An 18890-nucleotide genomic window follows, 5' to 3' on the forward strand; every position below is an offset into this window, starting at 1 on the left:
TGAGGTCAGTTCGAGACCAGCCTGGCCAATATGGTGAAACCCCGTCTCTACTAAAAATACAAAAATTAGCCAGGTGTGGTGGCAGGCACCTGTAATCTCAGCTACTTGGGAGGCTGAGGCAGGGAGAATTGCTTGAACCCCGGAGGCGGAGGTTGCAGTGAGCCAAGACGTGCCATTGCACTCCAGCCTGGTGACAGAGTGACACTGTTAAAAACAAACAAACAAACAAACAAAACCCATCTTGATCTCTTACATTAACAATTAGGCCCTTTATATCAAGTTGATATCTGTTCTTTCTATTGAGAGACATATATAAGACAACAGTTGTATGTACAGTGGGAATATATATATATGAGCAAAGATCATGACCTCAAGCATTCATAGTTTCAAGGGGAAAGTGAACATGTAAATAATTCACTTAAAACATTAATAGAAAGTGGTAAGTATTATAGAAATCTAGAAAATAGAAAGATTATTTCAAGCTGGAGAGATCAAGGAAAGTTTAAAGTATCTTAGGCTGAGAAAACAGAATGAACAAAGAAATACAAATGAGATATAAATGAGAATATGAGAGATATATATGAGAGAATTTAAAGTAGTTGATTTAGCCGGGCATGGTGGCTCACGCCTGTAACCCCAGCACTTTGGGAGGCCGAGGCAGGTGGATTACCTGAAGTCAGGAGTTCCACACCAGCCTGGCCAACATGGTGAAACCCGGTCTCTACTAAAAAATTCAAAAATTAGCCAGGTGTAGTGGCACGTGCATGTAGTCCCAGCTACTCAGGAGGCTGAGGGACAAGAATCACTTGAACCTGGGAGGTAGAGGTTGCAGTGAGCCGAGATTGCACCACTGCACTCCAGCCTGGGTGATGGAGTGAGATTCCATCTCAAAAAAACAAAACAAAAATTAAATAAAAATAAATAAATAAATAAAGTAGTTAATTTAGCTAGAACCACATATGAAGCAAAAGTATGAAATCATGAAAAGTAGGTTGGGTTATACCGTAGAGTGGTCTTGAATACCAAACTAAAAGGATTTTGGCTCCATTCCACTGACAATGAGAAGTCTCAAAATTTTTGAGCAGAAAAAGTAATACCAAAGTTGAGTTCATGAAGCGCCATCTGATAGCCATGATGACCAGAAGTAAGAATAGTCAGGAGGATTTTGTTGTCCTACATGGGAAATAAGGGGCTAAAAATTAAAATACTCTGAGAGGAGGGGAAAGATCACTTGAACCCGGGAGTGAGGGTGTGTCTATATGTATGTATGTATGTAGTATAATGAGCAAGGGCAAAGCAAAAGTCCAATTTGATACCAAGCTTATAGATATAAGAATTAAATAGTTAATGTATAAAAAGTATTCAGAACAGAGCTTGGCAAAGAGTAAATGCTAAGCAAATCTTAGATGCTACTACTGTCATTATATTGATGAAAAAACAATGGGGATCAGGATCAAATAAGAAGTTCAATAGCAGGAAAGGATGTTGACCGTTATTCATATTTTCTGTTTTATTAGAAAGAGATATTTTATCCTTTTTCAATAAATTGAATGTATGCATATATTAAATGGCTCTACATTCCTCTTAAAAGACATATGGTATATATATAAGGGGAAGAAAGAAGAAAAGAGCTTGAGGCTAGAAATGGAAAACCTTACTGTGAACTAAAATCTGATATTGACCTTGCACTTGTAATCCCAGCTACTTGGGAGGCTGAGATAGCAGTATAGCTTGGGCCCAGGAGTTCAAGGTTACAATGTTCTATGATTGCACCACTGCACTCCAGCCTGGGTGACACGGTGGTGAGACCCTGTCTCTAATAATAATAATAATAATAATAAATAAAAACTGGCTGGGCGCAGTGGCTCACGCCTGTAATCCCAGCACTTTGGGAGGCTGAGGCGGGCAGATCACCTGAGGTCAGGAGTTCAAGACCAGCCTGGCCAACATGGCAAAACCCCATATTTACTAAAAATACAAAAATTAGCCAGGCATGGTGGTGGACATCTGTAATCCCAGGTACTTGGGAGGCTGAGGCAGGAAAATTGCTTGAACCCGGGAGGTGGAGGTTGCAGTGAGCCGAGATCGTGCCACTGCACTCCAGCCTGGGCAACAAAAGCGAGACACTGGGCCGGGCGCGGTGGCTCACGCCTGTAATCCCAGCACTTTGGGAGGCCGAGGCGGGCGGATCACGAGCTCAGGAGATCGAGACCATCCTGGCTAACACGGTGAAACCCCGTCTCTACTAAAAATACAAAAAATTAGCCGGGCGTGGTAGCGGGCGCCTGTAGTCCCAGCTACTCGGGAGGCTGAGGCAGGAGAATGGCGTGAACCCGGGAGGCGGAGCTTGCAGTGAGCCGAGATCGCGCCACTGCACTCCAGCCTGGGCGACAGAGCGAGACTCCGTCTCAAAAAAAAAAAAAAAAAGAAAAAAAAAAACAAAAGCGAGACACTGTCTCAAAAAACAAAAACAAACAAACAAAAAACTGATATTGGCCAGCTGCAATGTTATTCAGTTTCTGTGCCTGTGTTTCTACATCTGTAAAATGAGGAGTATAACACTTACTACAAGGCATTTGACAAAATAAAGTATTATAAAGAAAAGTAATATGTGAACTTAGACTATAATTGGTAGTTTCTGAATTGTTGATTGCTTCCTTAAAGACAAAGAAAGTAATCTGTCACAGTGGTAGAGTTAAAGATAAATAAATAAAGACAAAGGAAGGAGAAGATAAAAAGGCTACTTTTACCTTCTTTGAGAAGAGTAAAGACTCCTTGTTTATCCATGTTCAGATCCAAGGATAAATGAGAGCAGTCTGTGAATGCCATGGCTTCTTTGGTCTCTTTATTTATGTGATACATTGCAATGGGTATTTCTATAATCTGGCCAATCTCCACATCAGCATGAAATGGTAACAGTTCCATTTTGTTCAGTTTCAGGACATGTATCTGGAGGGGAAAAATTCATCTTTCAAGAAAGTTATGTTAAAAAAAAGTCTTAGGAGGAGGAGAAGCAAGATGGCCAAATAGAACCCTCCAGTGATTGTCCTCCCTGCAGGAACACCAAATTGAATGACTATCCATACAAGAAGTCACCTTCATAAGAATCAAAAATCAGGTGAGCAATCACAGTACCTGGTTTTAACATCATATCAAGGAAGGAGCCACTGAAGGGGCAAGAAAAGAGTCTAGAATTGCCAACATCACCTCTCTTCCTTTCCCAGGCAGTGGCAGCAGCCACATGGGGCAGAGAGAGAATCTGTGCACCTGGGGAGTACAGTGATTGTGGGACTTTGCATTCCACAATCACTGCACTCCCCCAGGTGCACAGATTTGGAGCTCAGTGCTGCCTACTACAGTGGAAAGCAACACAGGGCAGAATTCAGTCAGTGCCTGTGGAAGGAGCATTTAGACCAGCGCTAGCCAAAGGGGAATTACCCATCCCAGTGGTCTGAACCTGAGTTCCAGCTAACCCCGACACTGTGGGCTAAAGCACTCTGGGGTCCTAAATAAACTTGAAAGGCTGTGTAGGCCACAAAGACTGCAATTCTTGGGCAAGTTCTGGTGCTGTGCTGAGCTTGAAGCCAGTGGACCTGGGATGCATATGACCTAGTGAGACACCTGCTGGGGTGGCCAAGAGAGTGCTTGTACCACTCCTCCCCACACCCCAGGTGCACAGCTCATAACTCTGTGAGAGTTTCTCCTTCTTCCTACTAGAGGAGAGGAGAGGAGAGGGGAGAGTAAAAAGGACTTTGTTTTGCAACTCGGATAATAGCTCAGCCACAATAGAGCATGAGGCAGAGTCACAAGGCCCCCATTTCAGACACTAACTCCCTGAAAACATTTCTATACACACCCTGGGGCAGAAGGGAACCTGCTGTCTTGAAAGGAAGGACACTGTCCTGGCAGGATTCAACACTTGCTGATTAAAGAGCCCTTGGGCCTTGGCCGGGTGCAGTGGCTCACGCACGTAATCTCAGCACTTTGGGAGGCTGAGGTGGACAAATCACCTGAGGTCAGGAGTTCAAAACCAGTCTGGCCAACATGGCGAAACCCTGTCTCTACTAAAAATACAAAAATTAGCTGGGCGTGGTGGCGGGCACCTGTAATCCCAGCTATCAGGAGGCTGAGGCATGAGAATTGCTTGAACCCGGGGGGTGGAGGTTGCAGTGAGCCGAGATCACGCCACTGCACTCCAGCCTAGGTGACAGAGCAAAAATCCGTTAAAAAAAAAAAAGAGCCCTTGGGCCTTGAATAAACATTTGGTGGTTTCCAGTATTTGATACAGGCCTTAGGTGACATTCAGTGCCATGCTGGCTTCAGGTGTGACTCAGTACATTCCCAGCTGTGATGACCATGAGCAGAGACTTCTTCTGCTTAAGAAAAGGAAATGGAAAAGTAAAGGGGACTTTGTCTTACAGCTTGAGTACCAGCTCAGCCATAGTGAGGTAGAGCACCAAGTGGGCTTCAGGGGTCCCCAATTTCAGGCCTTGGCTCCTGGATGGCATTTTTGGACCTGCCCTAGGCCAGAGGGGAGCCCACTTCACTGAAGGGAGAGACCCAGGCCTGGTAGCATTCACAAGCTGACTGAAGAGCCTTTGGACCTTTAATGAACATTGGTAGTAGCTAGTCAGTATTTGCCACGGGTCTGGGGCAGTTGTGGCCACAAAGAGAGACTCCCTCAGTTTGAACAAAGGAGAGTCAAGAACGAGAAGGGGGCTGGGTGCGGTGGCTTACACCTGTAATCCCAACACTTTGGGAGGCCGAGATGGGTGGATCACTTGAGGTCAGGTGTTCGAGACCAGCCTGGCCAATATGGTGAAACCCCATCTCTACTAAAAATACAAAAATTACCCGGGCGTGGTGGTGCATGCCTGTACTCCCAGCTACTCGGAAGGCTGAGGCAAGGGAATCGCTCGAACCCAGGAGGCAGAGGTTGCAGTCAGCTGAGATCATGCCACTGCACTCCAGCCTGGGTGACAGAGTAAGACTCCATTCCAGAAAAATAAATAAATAAATAAATAAAAAGATTGGGAAGGGCTTTGTCTTGCAGCTTGGGTGCCAGCTTAGTCGCAGTAGAATAGAGCATCAGGTAGATTTCTAAGGTTCCTGACTCCAGGCCCTGGCTCCTGAATAGAATTTCTGAACCTGCCCTGGGCTGGTGAGGAGCTTCCCATCCTGAAACGAAGGCCACAAGCCTGGCTGAATTTGCTACCCACTAACTGTACAGTCCTTGGGCCTTGAGTGAACACTGGCAGTAACCAGGCAGTGGTCACTGAAGGACTTGGGCAGGACCCAGTGCTATGCTAGCTTTGGGTCTGACCCAGTGCAGTCCTAGTGGTGGTGGCCACAGAGGGGCTTGTGTAACCCCACCCCCAGCTCCAGACAGCTTAGCAGGGAGAGAGAGAGACTCTGTTTGTTTGGGCAAAAGAAAGAGAAGGAACAAGAGTCTGCCTGGTAATCCAGGGAATTCTCCCGGATCTTACCTAAGACCACCAAAGCAGTACCTCTACAAGTCTGCAAGAGTCACAGCTTTACTGGGCTTGGGGTGCCGCCCAACGCAGATATGTACTGCAGTGACCAAAGACTTAGATCACGACACTCAATTCTCTTTGAATACTTGGAAAGCCTTCCCAAGAAGGATGGGTACAAACAAGCACATTGTTCAAAGACTACAATTAATACCTAACTTTTCAATGCCCAGACATCAATGAACATCCACAAAGATCAAGACCATACAGGAAAACATGGCCTAAATAAGGCACCAGTGACCAATCCTGGAGTGACAGAGCTATATGACCTTACAGACAAAGAGTTCAAAACAGCTGTTTTGCATAAGTTCAATGAAATTTAAGAGAAGGATTTCAGAATCCTATCAGACAAATATAACAAAGATATTGAAATAATTTTAAAAAGCAGAAATCCTGGAGCTGAAAAATTCAATTAACATACTAAAGAAATCCCAGCACTTTGGGAGGCCAAGGCAAGCAGATCACGAGATCAGGAGATCGAGACCATCCTGGCTAACACGGTGAAACCCTGTCTCTACTAAAAATACAAAAATTAGCCGGGCGTGTTGGCGGGCGCCTGTAGTCCCAGCTACTTGGGAGGCTGAGGCAGGAGAATGGCGTGAACCTGGGAGGCAGAGCTTGCAGTGAGCTGAGATTGCACCACTGCACTCCAGCCTGGACAACAGAGTGAGACTCCGTCTCAAAAAAAAAAAAAAAACTAAAGAATGCATCAGTCTCTCAACAGCAGAACTGATGAAGCAAAAGAAAGAATCAGTGAGCTTGAGGACAGGTTATTTGAAAATACAGTCATGGGCCAAGTGCAGTGGCTCACACCTGTAATCCCAGCACTTTGGGAGGCCAAGGTGGGTGGATTACTTGAGGCCAGGAGTTTGAGACCAGCCTGGCCAACACAGTGAAAGCCTGTCTCTACTAAAAATAGAAAGAATAAGCTGGGCATGGTGGCGCATGCTATAATCCCAGCTACTTGGGAGGCTGAGGCATGAAAATCACTTGAACCTAGGAGGTGGAGGTTGCAGTGAGCAGAGATCATGCCACTGCACTCCAGCCTGGGTGACAGAGTGAGATGTGGCCTCAAAAAAATAGAAAAGAAAGAAAATACAGTTAGCGGAGACTAAAGAAAAAATAATAGAAAAGAATGAAGTTCTAGAAAATGGCCACAAAATGGCAAATCTAAGAGCTACTGGCCTTAAAGAGGAGGTAAAGAGAGAGATTTAAACTACTGATACCTTGAGTAGAAAGACTAAAAGAAGAACCTATAAAAAGGAATAACTATAACAACTATTCAAGACATAGACAGTATAAGATATAAATAGAAACAACGCAAAGTTAAAAAGCAGGGGAATGAAATTAAAGTGTAGAAGTTTTTGTTTTTGTTTTTGTTTTGAGATGGAGTCTTGCTCTGTCACTCAGGCTGGAGTGCAGTGGCATAATCTCAGCTCACTGCAACCTCGACCTCCTAGGTTCAAGCAATTCTCCTGCCTCAGCCTCATGAGTAGCTGGGATCACAGGCATGCACCACCACAACCAGCTAATTTTTGTATTTTTAGTAGAGACAGGGTTTCACCATGTTGGCCAGGATGGTCTCGAACTCCTGATCTTAGGTGATCTAAGGTTATCCACCCACCTCGGCATCCCAAAGTGCTGGGATTACAGGCATGAGCCACTGCAACCAGCCTAGAGTTTTGATTAGTTTTCTCTTTGCTAATTTGTTAGTTTGTTTATGCAATCAGTGTTAAGACGTCATCAGTTTAAAATAATGAGTTATAAGATCTTATTTGCAAGCGTCATGGTAACCTGACAAAAATAAAACACAAGAAATTAAAACATACCACTGGAGAAAATCACCTTCACAAAAAGGAAGAAGGCAGGAAGGAAGGACAGAAGGAAGAGAAGACCACAAAACAACCAGAAAACAAATTAAAAATGGCAGGAGTAAGTTCTTATTTATCAATAATAACATTGAATTTAAATGGACAAACTCTCCAATCAAAAAAGATAGAGTGACTGAATAGATTTTTTTAAAAAAGGCTGAGCACAGTGGCTCACGCCTATAATCCCAGCACTTTGGGAGGCCAAGGCAGGCAGATCACCTGAGATTGGCAGTTCGAGACCAGCCTGACCAACATGGAGAAACCCCGTCTCTACTAAAAATATAAAATTAGCTGGGCGTAGTAGCACATGCCTGTAATCCCAGCTACTCGGGAGGCTGAGGCAGGAGAATTGCTTGAACCTGGGAGGCAGAGGTTACGGTGAGCCGAGATCATGCCATCGCACTCCAGCCTGGGCAACAAGAGTGAAACTCCATCTCAAAAACAAAAACAAAAACAAAAACCCAACAATCTGTTGCCTACAAGAAACATGCTTCACCTATAAAGACACATGTAGACTGAAAATAAAGAGATGGAAAAAGATTCCATGCCAATGGAAACCAAAAAAGAGCAAGAATAGCTATGCTTATATCAGACAAAATAGATCTCAGGACAAACTATAAAAAGAGAAAAAGAAGGCCATTATGTAATGATAAAGGGGTCAATTCAGCAAGAGGATATAACAATCATAAATATATATACACCCAATACTGGAGGATCCAGATGTATAAGGCAAATATTATTAGAGCTTAAGAGAGCTATAGACCTCACTACATTAATAGCTGGAGACTTCAACACCCTACTTTCAACAATGAACAGATTATCCAGACAGATAATCAACAAAGAAGCATCAAACTTAGTCTACAATGTAGACCAAAAGGATCTAATAGAATTTACAGAACTTTTCATTCAATGGCTGCAGAATACACATTCATCTCCTCAGCAAGAATGAGTATTCTTGATCATATTCAAGAATAGACTACGTTAGGTCCAAAACAATTGTTCAAAAATTCAAAAAAATTGAAACTATGTCAAATATCCTCTCTGACTACAGTGTACTAAAACTAGAAATCAGTAACAAGAGGAATTTTGGAAACTATACAAACACATTGAAATTAAACAACTTGCTCCTGAATGACCAGCATATCAATGAAGAAATTAAGAAAGAGATTTTAAAATTTCTTGAAAAAAACAAAAATGAAAACACAACATAACAAAACCTATGAGATACAGTGAAAGCAGTACTAAGAGGAAAGTTTATAGTAATGAATGCCTACATCAAAAAAGTAGAGGCCAGGTGCGGTGGCTCACACCTGTAATCCCTGCACTTTGGGAGGCTGAGGCAGGTGGATCACCTGAGGTCAGGAGTTTCAGACCAGCCTGGCCAACATGATGAAACCCCATCTCTAATAAAAATACAAAAAATTAGCAGGGCATGGAAACGTGCACCTGTAATCCCAGCTACTCAGGAGGCTGAGGCAGGAGAATCACTTGAACCCAGGAGGCACAGGTTGCAGTGAGCCAAGATCACGCCACTGCACTCCAGCCTGGGAAACAAGAGCAAAACTCTGTCTCAAAAAAAAAAAGGTAGAAAAACTTGAAAAAAACAACCCAATGTTGTATTTTTTTTTTTTGACAGTCTTGCTCTGTTGCCAGGCCAGAGTGCTGTGGTGCAATCTCAGCTCACTGCAACCTCCACCTCCTGGGTTCAAGCAATTCTCCTGCCTCAGCCTCCTGAGTAGCTGGGATTACAGGGGCACGCCACCATGCCTGGCTAATTTTTGTATTTTTAGTAGAGACAGGGTTTCACCATGTTGGTCAGGATGGTCTCAATCTCTTGATCTTGTGATCCACCTGCCTCGGCCTCCCAAATTGCTGGGATTACAGGTGTGAGCCACCGCACCCAGCCGAAGTATCTTAAAGAACTGGAAAAGTTGGCTGGACACAGTGGTTCATGCCTGTAATCCCAATACTTTTGGAGGCTGAAGCAGGTGGATTGCTGGAGCCCAGGAGTTCAAGACCAGCCTGAACAACATGGTGAAACCTTGTCTCTACAAAAAATACAAAAATCAGCTGGCGTGGTGGTGTTCACCTGTATTCCCAGCTACTTGGGAGACTGCGGCTGGAAGATAACTTGGGCCTGGGAGGTAGTGGCTGCAGTGAGCTGTGATCTCACCACTGTACTCCAGCCTGGGCAACAGAGCAAGACCTTGCCTGAAAAAAAAGAAAAACAAAACTGCAAAAGCAAGAGCAAACCAAAGCCAAAATTAGTAGAAGAAATAATAAAGATCAGAGCGGAAATAAATGAAATAAAAAAATACAAAAGATCAACAAAATGAAGAGTTGGTTTTTTGAAAAGATAAACAAAATCGACAAACCTTTAGCCAGACTAAAAAAAAAAAAAAGAGAGAGAGAGAGATGACCCAAATAAGTAAAATCTGGCTGGGCACGGTGGCTCATGCCTGTAATCCCACCACTTTGGGAGGCCAAGGCCGGGAGATCACCTGAGGTCAGGAGTTTGAGACCAGCCCGGCCTACATGGTGAAACCCTATCTGTACTAAAAATACGAAAATTAGCCAGGCGTGGTAGCAGGCGCCTATAATCCCAGCTACTCGGAAGGCTGAGGCATGAGAATCACTTGAACCCAGGAGGCAGAGGTTGCAATGAGCCCAGATCGCACCACTGCACTCCAGCCTGGGCGACAGAGTGAGATTCAGTCTCAAAAACTAGATAAATAAATAAAATATATAAATAATAAATAATAAAAGTAAAATCTGAGATGAAAAAGAAGATATTACAGCCAATACCACAGAAATTTAAAGGATCATTAGGGGCTACTATGAGCAATTATATGCCAATAAATTGGAAAACCTACAAGAAATGGATAAATTCCTAGACATATACAACCTACCAAGATTGAACTATGAAGAAATCCAAAGCCTGAAAAGACTAATAACAAGTAATGAGATCGAAGCTGCAATAAAAGTCTCCCAGCAAAACAAAGCCCAGGACTTGATGGATTCATGGCTAAATTTTACTAAACATTTAAAAAAGAACTAATTCTAATCCTACTCAAAGTATTTTGAAAAATAGAGAAGAGAATACGTCCAAACTTATTCTATGTGGCCAGTATTACCCTGATACAAAAACCAGACAAAGACTTATTAAAAACAAAACAAAACACTACAGGCCAATATCCCTGATGAACATGATGGAAAAACTCTTGACAAAATATTAGTAAACCAAATTCAACAACACTTTTTTTTTGTTTTGTTTTGTTTTTTCAGATGGAGTCTCACTCTGTTGCCCAGGCTGGAGTGCAATGGCGCGATCTCAGCTCACTGCAACCTCTGCCTCCCAGGTTTAAGCAATTCTCCTGCCTCAACCTCCCGAGTAGCTGGGACTATAGGTGCGCACCACCATGCCTGACTAATTTTTTGTATTTTTAGTAGAGAAGGGGTTTCACCATGTTGGCCAGGATGGTCTTGATCTCTTGACCTTGTGATCTGCCTGCCTCAGCCTCTCAAAGTGCTAGGATTACAGGCTTGAGCCACTGCACCTGGCCTCAACAACACATTTTTTTTAAAAATCATTAATGGCCAGACAGAGTTGCTCACTCCTGTAATCCTAACACTTCGGGAGGCTGAGGTGGGAGGATTGCTTGAGCCCCGGAGGCCAAGGCTGCAGTGAGTCATGTTCCTGCCACTGCATTCAAGCCTGGGTGACAGAGCAAGAACTTGTCTCTAAAAAAACATTGCTAAAATAACTAAAATAGTATAACTGGAATGTTTGTAACACAAAGAAAGGATAAATTCTTGAGGTGATGTGATGGATACTCCGTTTACCCTGATGTGACTATTATGCATTGTATGGCCATATCAAAATATCTCATGTATCCCATAAATATATACACCTACCACGTACACCTGAAGATTAAAAATTACAGCACTTTGGGAGGCCAAGGCGGGAAGATCGCTTGAGCCCAGGAGTTCAAGTCCACCCTGGGCAATATAGGGAGACCCTGTCTCTAAAAAAAGTTTAAAAATTAGCTGAGCATGGTGGTATACATCTGTAGTCCCAGCTACTTGAAAAGCTCGGGTGGGAAGATTGGATGAGACCAGGAGGCGGAGGTTGCAGTGAGCTGAGGTTGCATCACTGCACTCCAGCATGGGCAACAGAATGAGACCCTGTCTGGGGAAAAAAAAAAAAAAAAGGCCAGGTGCAGTGGCTCATGGCTATAATCCTAGCGCTTTGGGAGGACAAAGCAGGTGGATCACCTGAGGTCAGGAGTTTGAGGCAAGCCTGGCCAACATGGTGAAACCCTGTCTCTATTAAAAATACAAAAATTGACTGGGCATGGTGATGCATGCCTGTAGTCTCAGCTACTTGGGAGGCTGAGGCAGGAGGATTGCTTGAGCCCAGGAGATGGAGGTTGTAATGAGCTGAGAGTGTACCACTGCACTCCAGCCGGGGTGATGGGAGAGAAACCCTCTCTTAAAAAAAAAAATATATATATATATATAAAATTTAAAACTGTTAAGAAAAAGAAGAAATCATTCCTTAAATATTTACATACACATGAACATATATAAATACATTATATATATATATATGTTATTTACTATTATACACAATGTAATGGTCCAGGTCTCTTTTATATACGCACACACACACATAAACACACCCACAAGGTGCTAAACATATCACTCTACATTTTTAAATTTATTGATCTCTTTAAAGCATCTAACTCCATGTAGGAGGGGTCTGGCAAACTACGGCCTGTATACAACCTGTTTTTGTACAATGAGCTAAGAACAGTTTTTACATTTTTAAAAGGTTGTAAAATAAAACAATAACAACCACAAAAAAGAATATGAGATAGTAACTATATGTGGCCTGTAAAGACTAATGTATTAGGCCAGGCGTGGTGGCTCACGCCTGTAATCCCAGCATTTTGGGAGGCCAAGGCGGGCAGATCACAAGGTCAGGAATTCAACACCAGCCTGGCCAATATGGTGAAACCCCGTCTCTACTAAAAATACAAAAATTAGCCAGGCGTGGTGGCACGTGCCTGTAATTCCAGCTACTCAGGAGGCTGAAGCAGGAGAATCGCTTGAACCTGGGAGGTGGAGGTTGCAGTGAGCTGAGATCTGGCCACGGCACTCCAGCTTGGACAACAGAGCAAGACTCCATCTCAAAAAAAAAAAAAAAAAAAAAAGCCGGGTGTGGTGGCTCACACCTGTAATCCCAGCACTTTGGGAGGCCGAGTTCAGAAGTTCAAGACCAGCCTGGCTAACATGGTGAAACCCCGTCTCTACTAAAAATACAAAAATTAGCTGGGCGTGGTAGTGGGCGCCTGTAATCCCAGCTACTCGGGAGGCTGAGGCAGGAGAATTGCTTGAACTCGAGAGGCGGAGGTTGCAATGAGCCAAGATCGCACCACTGCACTCCAGCCTGGGCAACAGCGCAAGACTCCATCTCAAAAAAAAAAAAAAAATTTGCCAGGCGTAGTGGTACACGTCCCAGCTACTTGGAAGGCTGAGGTGGGAGGATTGCTTGAGGTCAAGGCTGGAGTAGGCCACGATTGTGCCACTGCATTGAACCTGGGCAACAGAAACCCCATCTCAAAAAAATTAATAAATAAAATAAAATAAAATCTTTTATTTTGTCATTTTTGCCACTTTCTATGTTTCTTCTGCTAGTTCCTCTTCCTATGTTTCTTAAAGTGACATTTACATTACACAGGATCCATATGTTCTTCCTGGGAAAACTTATCCAGTCCCAAAGCTTCAGTGACTAACCATATGCAAACTCTCCAGCCCTAATCTTTCAGTTGAACTTCAGACCCCTATTTCCAATTAAAAACATCCACTTAGATGCTCCATAGGTGAATTACGCTAAATGTATCCAAAACTAAATTCATCATCTTTTCCATTTTTTTGTATTTTCTTTTCTTTTTTTAAAGACAGGGTCTCACTCTTGCCTAAGCTAGAGTGCAGAGGCGTGATCATAGTTCACCGCAACCTCAAACTCCTGGCCTCAAGCGACCCTCCTGCCTCAGTAGCTAGGACTACAGGCATGTGCCACTATGCCTGGTTAATTTTTTTTTTAAGAGATGGGGGGGGGGGTCTTGCTTTGTTGTCCAGGCTGGTCTCGAACTCCTGGCCTCAAGCCACTCTCCTGCCTTGGCCACTCAAAGGTGTTGGGATTACATGTGTAAGCCACCACTCCCAGCCTCTTGTATTTTCTATCCACCCCGCTGGCAAAGTGAGAAACCTCCACATCATCTCTGTGGCTTTAAATGTTTAACTCTTCCCTGCTCAATCAAATCGGATTGATTTACCTGTTAAAAAAGATTATCATTTGGTCCATTTCCTGCTATTCTCAATACCATCTCACTAGTTCAAGCTTAACTGAAGTTTTTGCCTTCACTTTCTCCCTTCAATCCATTCTAATCTACTAGTCTATAGCACCAGCAAGTATCTTTTGTTTTTTAGTATAATGGCTGTTATTGTCTGATTATAAAAATAATTAGATATCTTTCAGAACAGAGACCTTACCATACCATTGACCTGTTAAAAGCCTGTATTGGTTCCCCATTGTCTACAGCAAGGATTGGCAAAGCTTTCTGTAAAGAGCTAGATAGTAAACATTTTAGACTTATTGAGGCTACACAGTCTCCGTGGTAACTACTAACTCAGCAGCTGTGGCTTGAAAGCAGCCACAGACAATATGTAAATGAATGGGAGTAGCTGTGTTCTGAAAAAAGTTTATTTACCAAATAAGGAAGCACTCTAAATTTGACCTTTGGGCCTTACTTTTATTCCATCCTCCAAAAGTCTTATTGAAGTTCCCACCTCTTTCATAATAGTCTCTGATAGTCCCATACACAAGGATTTCTCTTTTACAAACTAATAGCACTTACTGTACAATTCAAGTAGTTCTCAGTCATACAGGGCTTTAAATATCTCACATATCATTTTCTTAAAATGTTATTTGACTTTTTTCATGTCAATATATCTTCCTAGTTATACTTTAAATACTTTAAGATAGGGATCATGTGTTATGTATCTCTGAATGTCCAATAATACCTACGAGATAATAAATGTTCACTGAGTGATGGCAAACTATTAAGTCCTATAGAGAACAGCAACATATATTAAAAATGGGGCTGGGGCTGGGCGCAGTGGCTCATGCCTGTAATCCCACCACTATGGAAGGCCGGGGTGGGCGGATCACTTGAGGTCAGGAGTTCGAGATCAGCCTGGCCATAATGGTGAAACCCCGTCTCTACTGAAAATACAAAAAATTAGGCCGGGCGCGGTGACTCATGCCTGTAATCCCAGCACTTTGGGAGGCCGAGGCAGGTGGATCACGAGGTCAGGAGATAGAGACCAGCCTGGCTAGCACGGTGAAACCCCATCTCTATTAAAAATACAAAAAATTGGCCGGGCATGGTGGCACATGCCTGTAGTCCCAGCTACTCGGGAGGCTGAGGCAGGAGAATGGGGTGAACCTGGGAGGCAGAGCTTGCAGTGAGCCAAGATCGCACCACTGCACTCCAGCCTTGGCGACAGAAAGAGACTCCATCTCAAAAAAAAAAAAAAAAAAAATTAGTTGGGTGTGTTGGCGGGTGCCTGTAGTCCCAGCTACTCAGGAGGCTGAGGCAGGAGAATTGCTTGAACCTGAAAGGCGGAGGTTGCAGTGAGCTGAGATCACGCCACTGCACTCCAGCCTGGGCAACAGAGTGAGACTCCATCTCAGGGAAAAAAAAAAAAAAAATGGGGCTGGGTACAGTGGCTCACACCTGTAATCCTTGCACTTTGGAAGGCCAAGACAGGAGGATCACTTGAGGCCAGGAGTTTGGGACCAGCCTGGGCAACACAGTGAGACCCTGTCTCTACAAAAATAATAAATTAACTGTGTGGGGTGGTGCATATCTGTAGTCCTGGCTACTTGGGAGGCCAAGGCGGGAGAACTGCTTGAGTCCTAGGAGTTTGAGGCTGCAGTGAGCTATGATCATGCCATTGCCCTCCAGTCTGGGCAACAGAGCAAGACTCAGTCTCAAAAAAAGAAAAAATAAAGGAGAAAAATAGGAAAATGGTTACATAATATACTAAAAAAGAGTTTTCAATCTTTTAGTAACAGATTGACAAACCAAAATATGACACTAGAGATAAAGTTACTATAAAGGCCATTTAAAAATCATATGTATAACTATAACAAAAAAGTTAACGTTAATTAAATATTAAATATATGCCAAGCACTGGAGTAAACACTATCTCATTTAATCCTGACAATAAAGACTATACTTTCAGTGATCATGTCTATAGTTCATTACAAGGGAAGTTTCTCTGAACTTGTAGAGCACTGTAACAAATGCTCAAAATGTTACCTATTACTGTTTTCAGTTTTACATGTGTTTTTATAATTAGTATAATAAATACAGAATGCATTTCATCATTTTTTTCCTCAAATTTTCCAGTTAAAAACATTTTTCAATAATTCTGATAATAACCTTCGAGGTGGATACTAACATCATCCTATGAGGAAACAAACATAGATGTTAAATAAGTGACTATTAAGTGAAGCAAGATTCAACCTAGTTATAGAAATATTTTTAAAATATGTATTTCTGGCTGGGTGCAGTGGCTTATGCCTGTAATCCCAGCACTTTGGGAGGCCGAGGCAGGCAGATCACCTGAGGTCAGGAGTTTGACACCAGCCTGGCCAACATGGAGAAACCCCACCTCTACTAAAAATACAAAAATTAGCCAGGTGTGGTAGTGGGCACCTGTAATCCCAGCTACTCAGGAGGCTGAGCCAGGAGAATTACTTGAACCGGGGAGGCAGAGGTTGCAGTGAGTGAGCTGAGATCTTGCCACTGCACTGCAGCCTGGGAAACAGAGCAACATCTGTCTCCAAAAAAAAAAGTATTTCTTGACTGAATGTGAGTAATATTTTTAAATAGCCATGTTGGGCTCTTTTTTTAAAGTGTGTTAATTACTTAAATTTAGACAGTAGTGTTGTAGGGGTAATAAGAATATCTGGAGAGTCGTTTACCTTAATTTCTCCATATCGAAAGGGATTTTGTACATCTCGGGCCAAAACAGTACTATTCCCCCTGACCTGACCTGCAGTCACCACTCCTTTCGTGGTTACTATGACCACTGTTTCATTAGAAGAAGTCCAGGTAAAGTTGCCACTGCCACCCTCTACCTGTGAAAACACACATTACATTTAATTACAATCGGAAGAAAATAAAATTTAAGTGAAAATGTAAAACTTGACTGGTGAAATAAAGTTTACAAAATAGTAACATAATATAATAAATTATTTTTGGACACATTAGAAACTGTGACACTAGGCTGGGCATGGTGCCTTACACCTGTAATCCCAGCACTTTGGAAGGCCAAGGTGGGTGGATTACCTGACGTCAGAAGTTCGAGACCAGCCTGGCCAACATGGTGAAACCCTGTCTCTACTAAAAATACAAAATTAGCTGGGAGTGGTGGCACACGCCTGTAATCCCAGCTACTCCGGAGGCTGAGGCAGGAGAATCGCTTCAACCTGGGAGACAGAGGTTGCAGTGAGCCGAGATTGCACCATTACACTCCAGCCTGGGCAACAAGAGCAAAACTCTGTCTCAGAAAAAAAAAGAAAGAAAGAAAGAAAAGAAACTGTGACACTATAGTAAAGTACCTTAACAGGCAAGAGAAATACTAAAGGGAGGCAAAGTAATGGTAGTGTCACAAAATGTCAAAAAAAGACACAACAGAACTTTATAAAACTCACAAGGAAAGGATATTGGGAAGAGAGACAGAAAGCATCTGTAACCAAGTCTTGTTATAGATGACATTTTTCAAGAGTATAATTTTGGTTGTCACCAAAACCCAAGTTATACTTTTAGGATTGGGAGGAAATAAATGTAACATTAATCAAATTTCAATAAATTAAGCTATTAGAGAAACCGGCTTATCTCCTTGTGAAGCCTTATAGGACACCATACCTGTACTTTATAACGATATAACATTCCCATAGGATGATGAGGAAATGCCAGAAATTTGGGTGTAAGCATGATGGGAAAATAAATCTTCACTTCTTGTTGGTGTTTGATTAGAAATTTTATAGGCTGAATATCTTTATTCTATAAGAGCAGGAAAAAAGGAGCAAAATATATTTATAAGGACTATTCTTATAATACACATTCATATACTCAAAACATCAGCAAAATGGTATGCTCATAAATTACTCAACCAGTTTCTATCTATAAAAGAAATAAATAAATATTTCTCTTCATTAAATAAGCATAGTTGCTATGGTTCAATAATAATGAAAATGAAATAATAATGAAAAGGGTTTTGCTAGACCTAAACTAATTATCAGAATCAGGGAAAATAGCTTAAAATTCCCTGAAATAAAAGAGGTTTTTTAAAAAATCAACATAGTAAGGGAAACCATACTTTCAGAAGAAAGACCCCTGGACATCCATAAACTGTAAAGGGAAAGGGATACTATAAGCTATTCAGAAGAAAATGAGAACATTTAAAGGTGCTAAGGTAAGAAATTTGCCTCATACTTAAAAACAAGCAGAACCCACTCATATATAGAGGGCCAACTTTTTGTGTAAGGTTCTACAGGGCTGGCTGGGAGAGGTGGCTCATGTCTATAATCCCAGCACTTTGGGAGGACGAGGTGGGTGGACCACCTGAGGTCAGGAGTTCAAAACCAGCCTGGCCAACATGGTGAAACCCCATCTCTACTAAAAATACAAAAAATCAGCTGAGCGTGTGGTGCATGCCTGTAACTCCAGCTACTTGGGAGGCTGAGACAGGAGAATTGCTTGAACTTGGGAGGCGGAGGTTGCAGTAAGCTGAGATCACGCCACTGCACTCCAGCCTGGGCAACAATAGGGAAACCTGGTCTCAAAAAACAAACAAACAAACAAAAAACCAAATAAATAAATAAATAATAAGGTTCTACAGGGCTGAATGTAGGACTTGAGTATGCGTGGATTTTGGTATATGTGGGGTCCTGAAACCAGTTCCCCACATATACTGAGGGACAATTGTATTTAGAAGTGCATTATCCATGGTGTATATGTGCCACATTTTCTTAATCCAGTCTATCACTAATGGACATTTGGGTTGGTTCCAAGTCTTTGCTATTGTGAATAGTGCTGCAATAAACATACGTGTGCATGTGTCTTTATAGCAGCATGACTTATAATCCTTTGGGTATATACCCAGTAATGGGATGGCTGGGTCAAATGGTATTTCTAGTTCTAGATCCTTGAGGAATCGCCACGCTGACTTCCACAATGGTTGAACTAGTTTACAGTCCCACCAACAGTGTAAAAGTGTTCCTATTTCTCCACATCCTCTCCAGCACCTGTTGTTTCCTGACTTTTTAATGATTGCCATTCTAACTGGTGTGAGATGATATCTCATTGTGGTTTTGATTTGCATTTCTCTGATGGCCAGTGATGAG

General features: G+C 42.5%; 1 protein-coding gene and 1 non-coding gene across 9 annotated transcripts in view; both read right to left on the reverse strand.

Moving 5' to 3' along the window:
• NUP210L (nucleoporin 210 like) overlaps positions 1-18890 on the reverse strand; it is a 162427-nt gene that overhangs the window by 108572 nt on the left and 34965 nt on the right. For all 8 annotated transcript variants that reach the window (XM_011510122.2, XM_011510123.2, NM_001159484.1 and 5 more), the window contains 3 exons: positions 17410-17547; positions 16464-16619; positions 2751-2949 (listed from right to left, as the gene is read on the reverse strand). In XM_011510122.2, coding sequence (XP_011508424.1) covers positions 2751-2949; positions 16464-16619; positions 17410-17547 — 493 coding nt within the window. The remainder of the gene's footprint in view (positions 1-2750; positions 2950-16463; positions 16620-17409; positions 17548-18890) is intronic.
• On the reverse strand, positions 3260-3331 carry MIR5698 (microRNA 5698). The gene has a single exon (NR_049883.1). It is a non-coding gene; the product is annotated as a microRNA 5698 (primary transcript).

The sequence above is a fragment of the Homo sapiens genome, chromosome 1 (genome assembly GCF_000001405.40).
Source record: "Homo sapiens chromosome 1, GRCh38.p14 Primary Assembly".
NCBI lineage: Eukaryota > Metazoa > Chordata > Mammalia > Primates > Hominidae > Homo > Homo sapiens.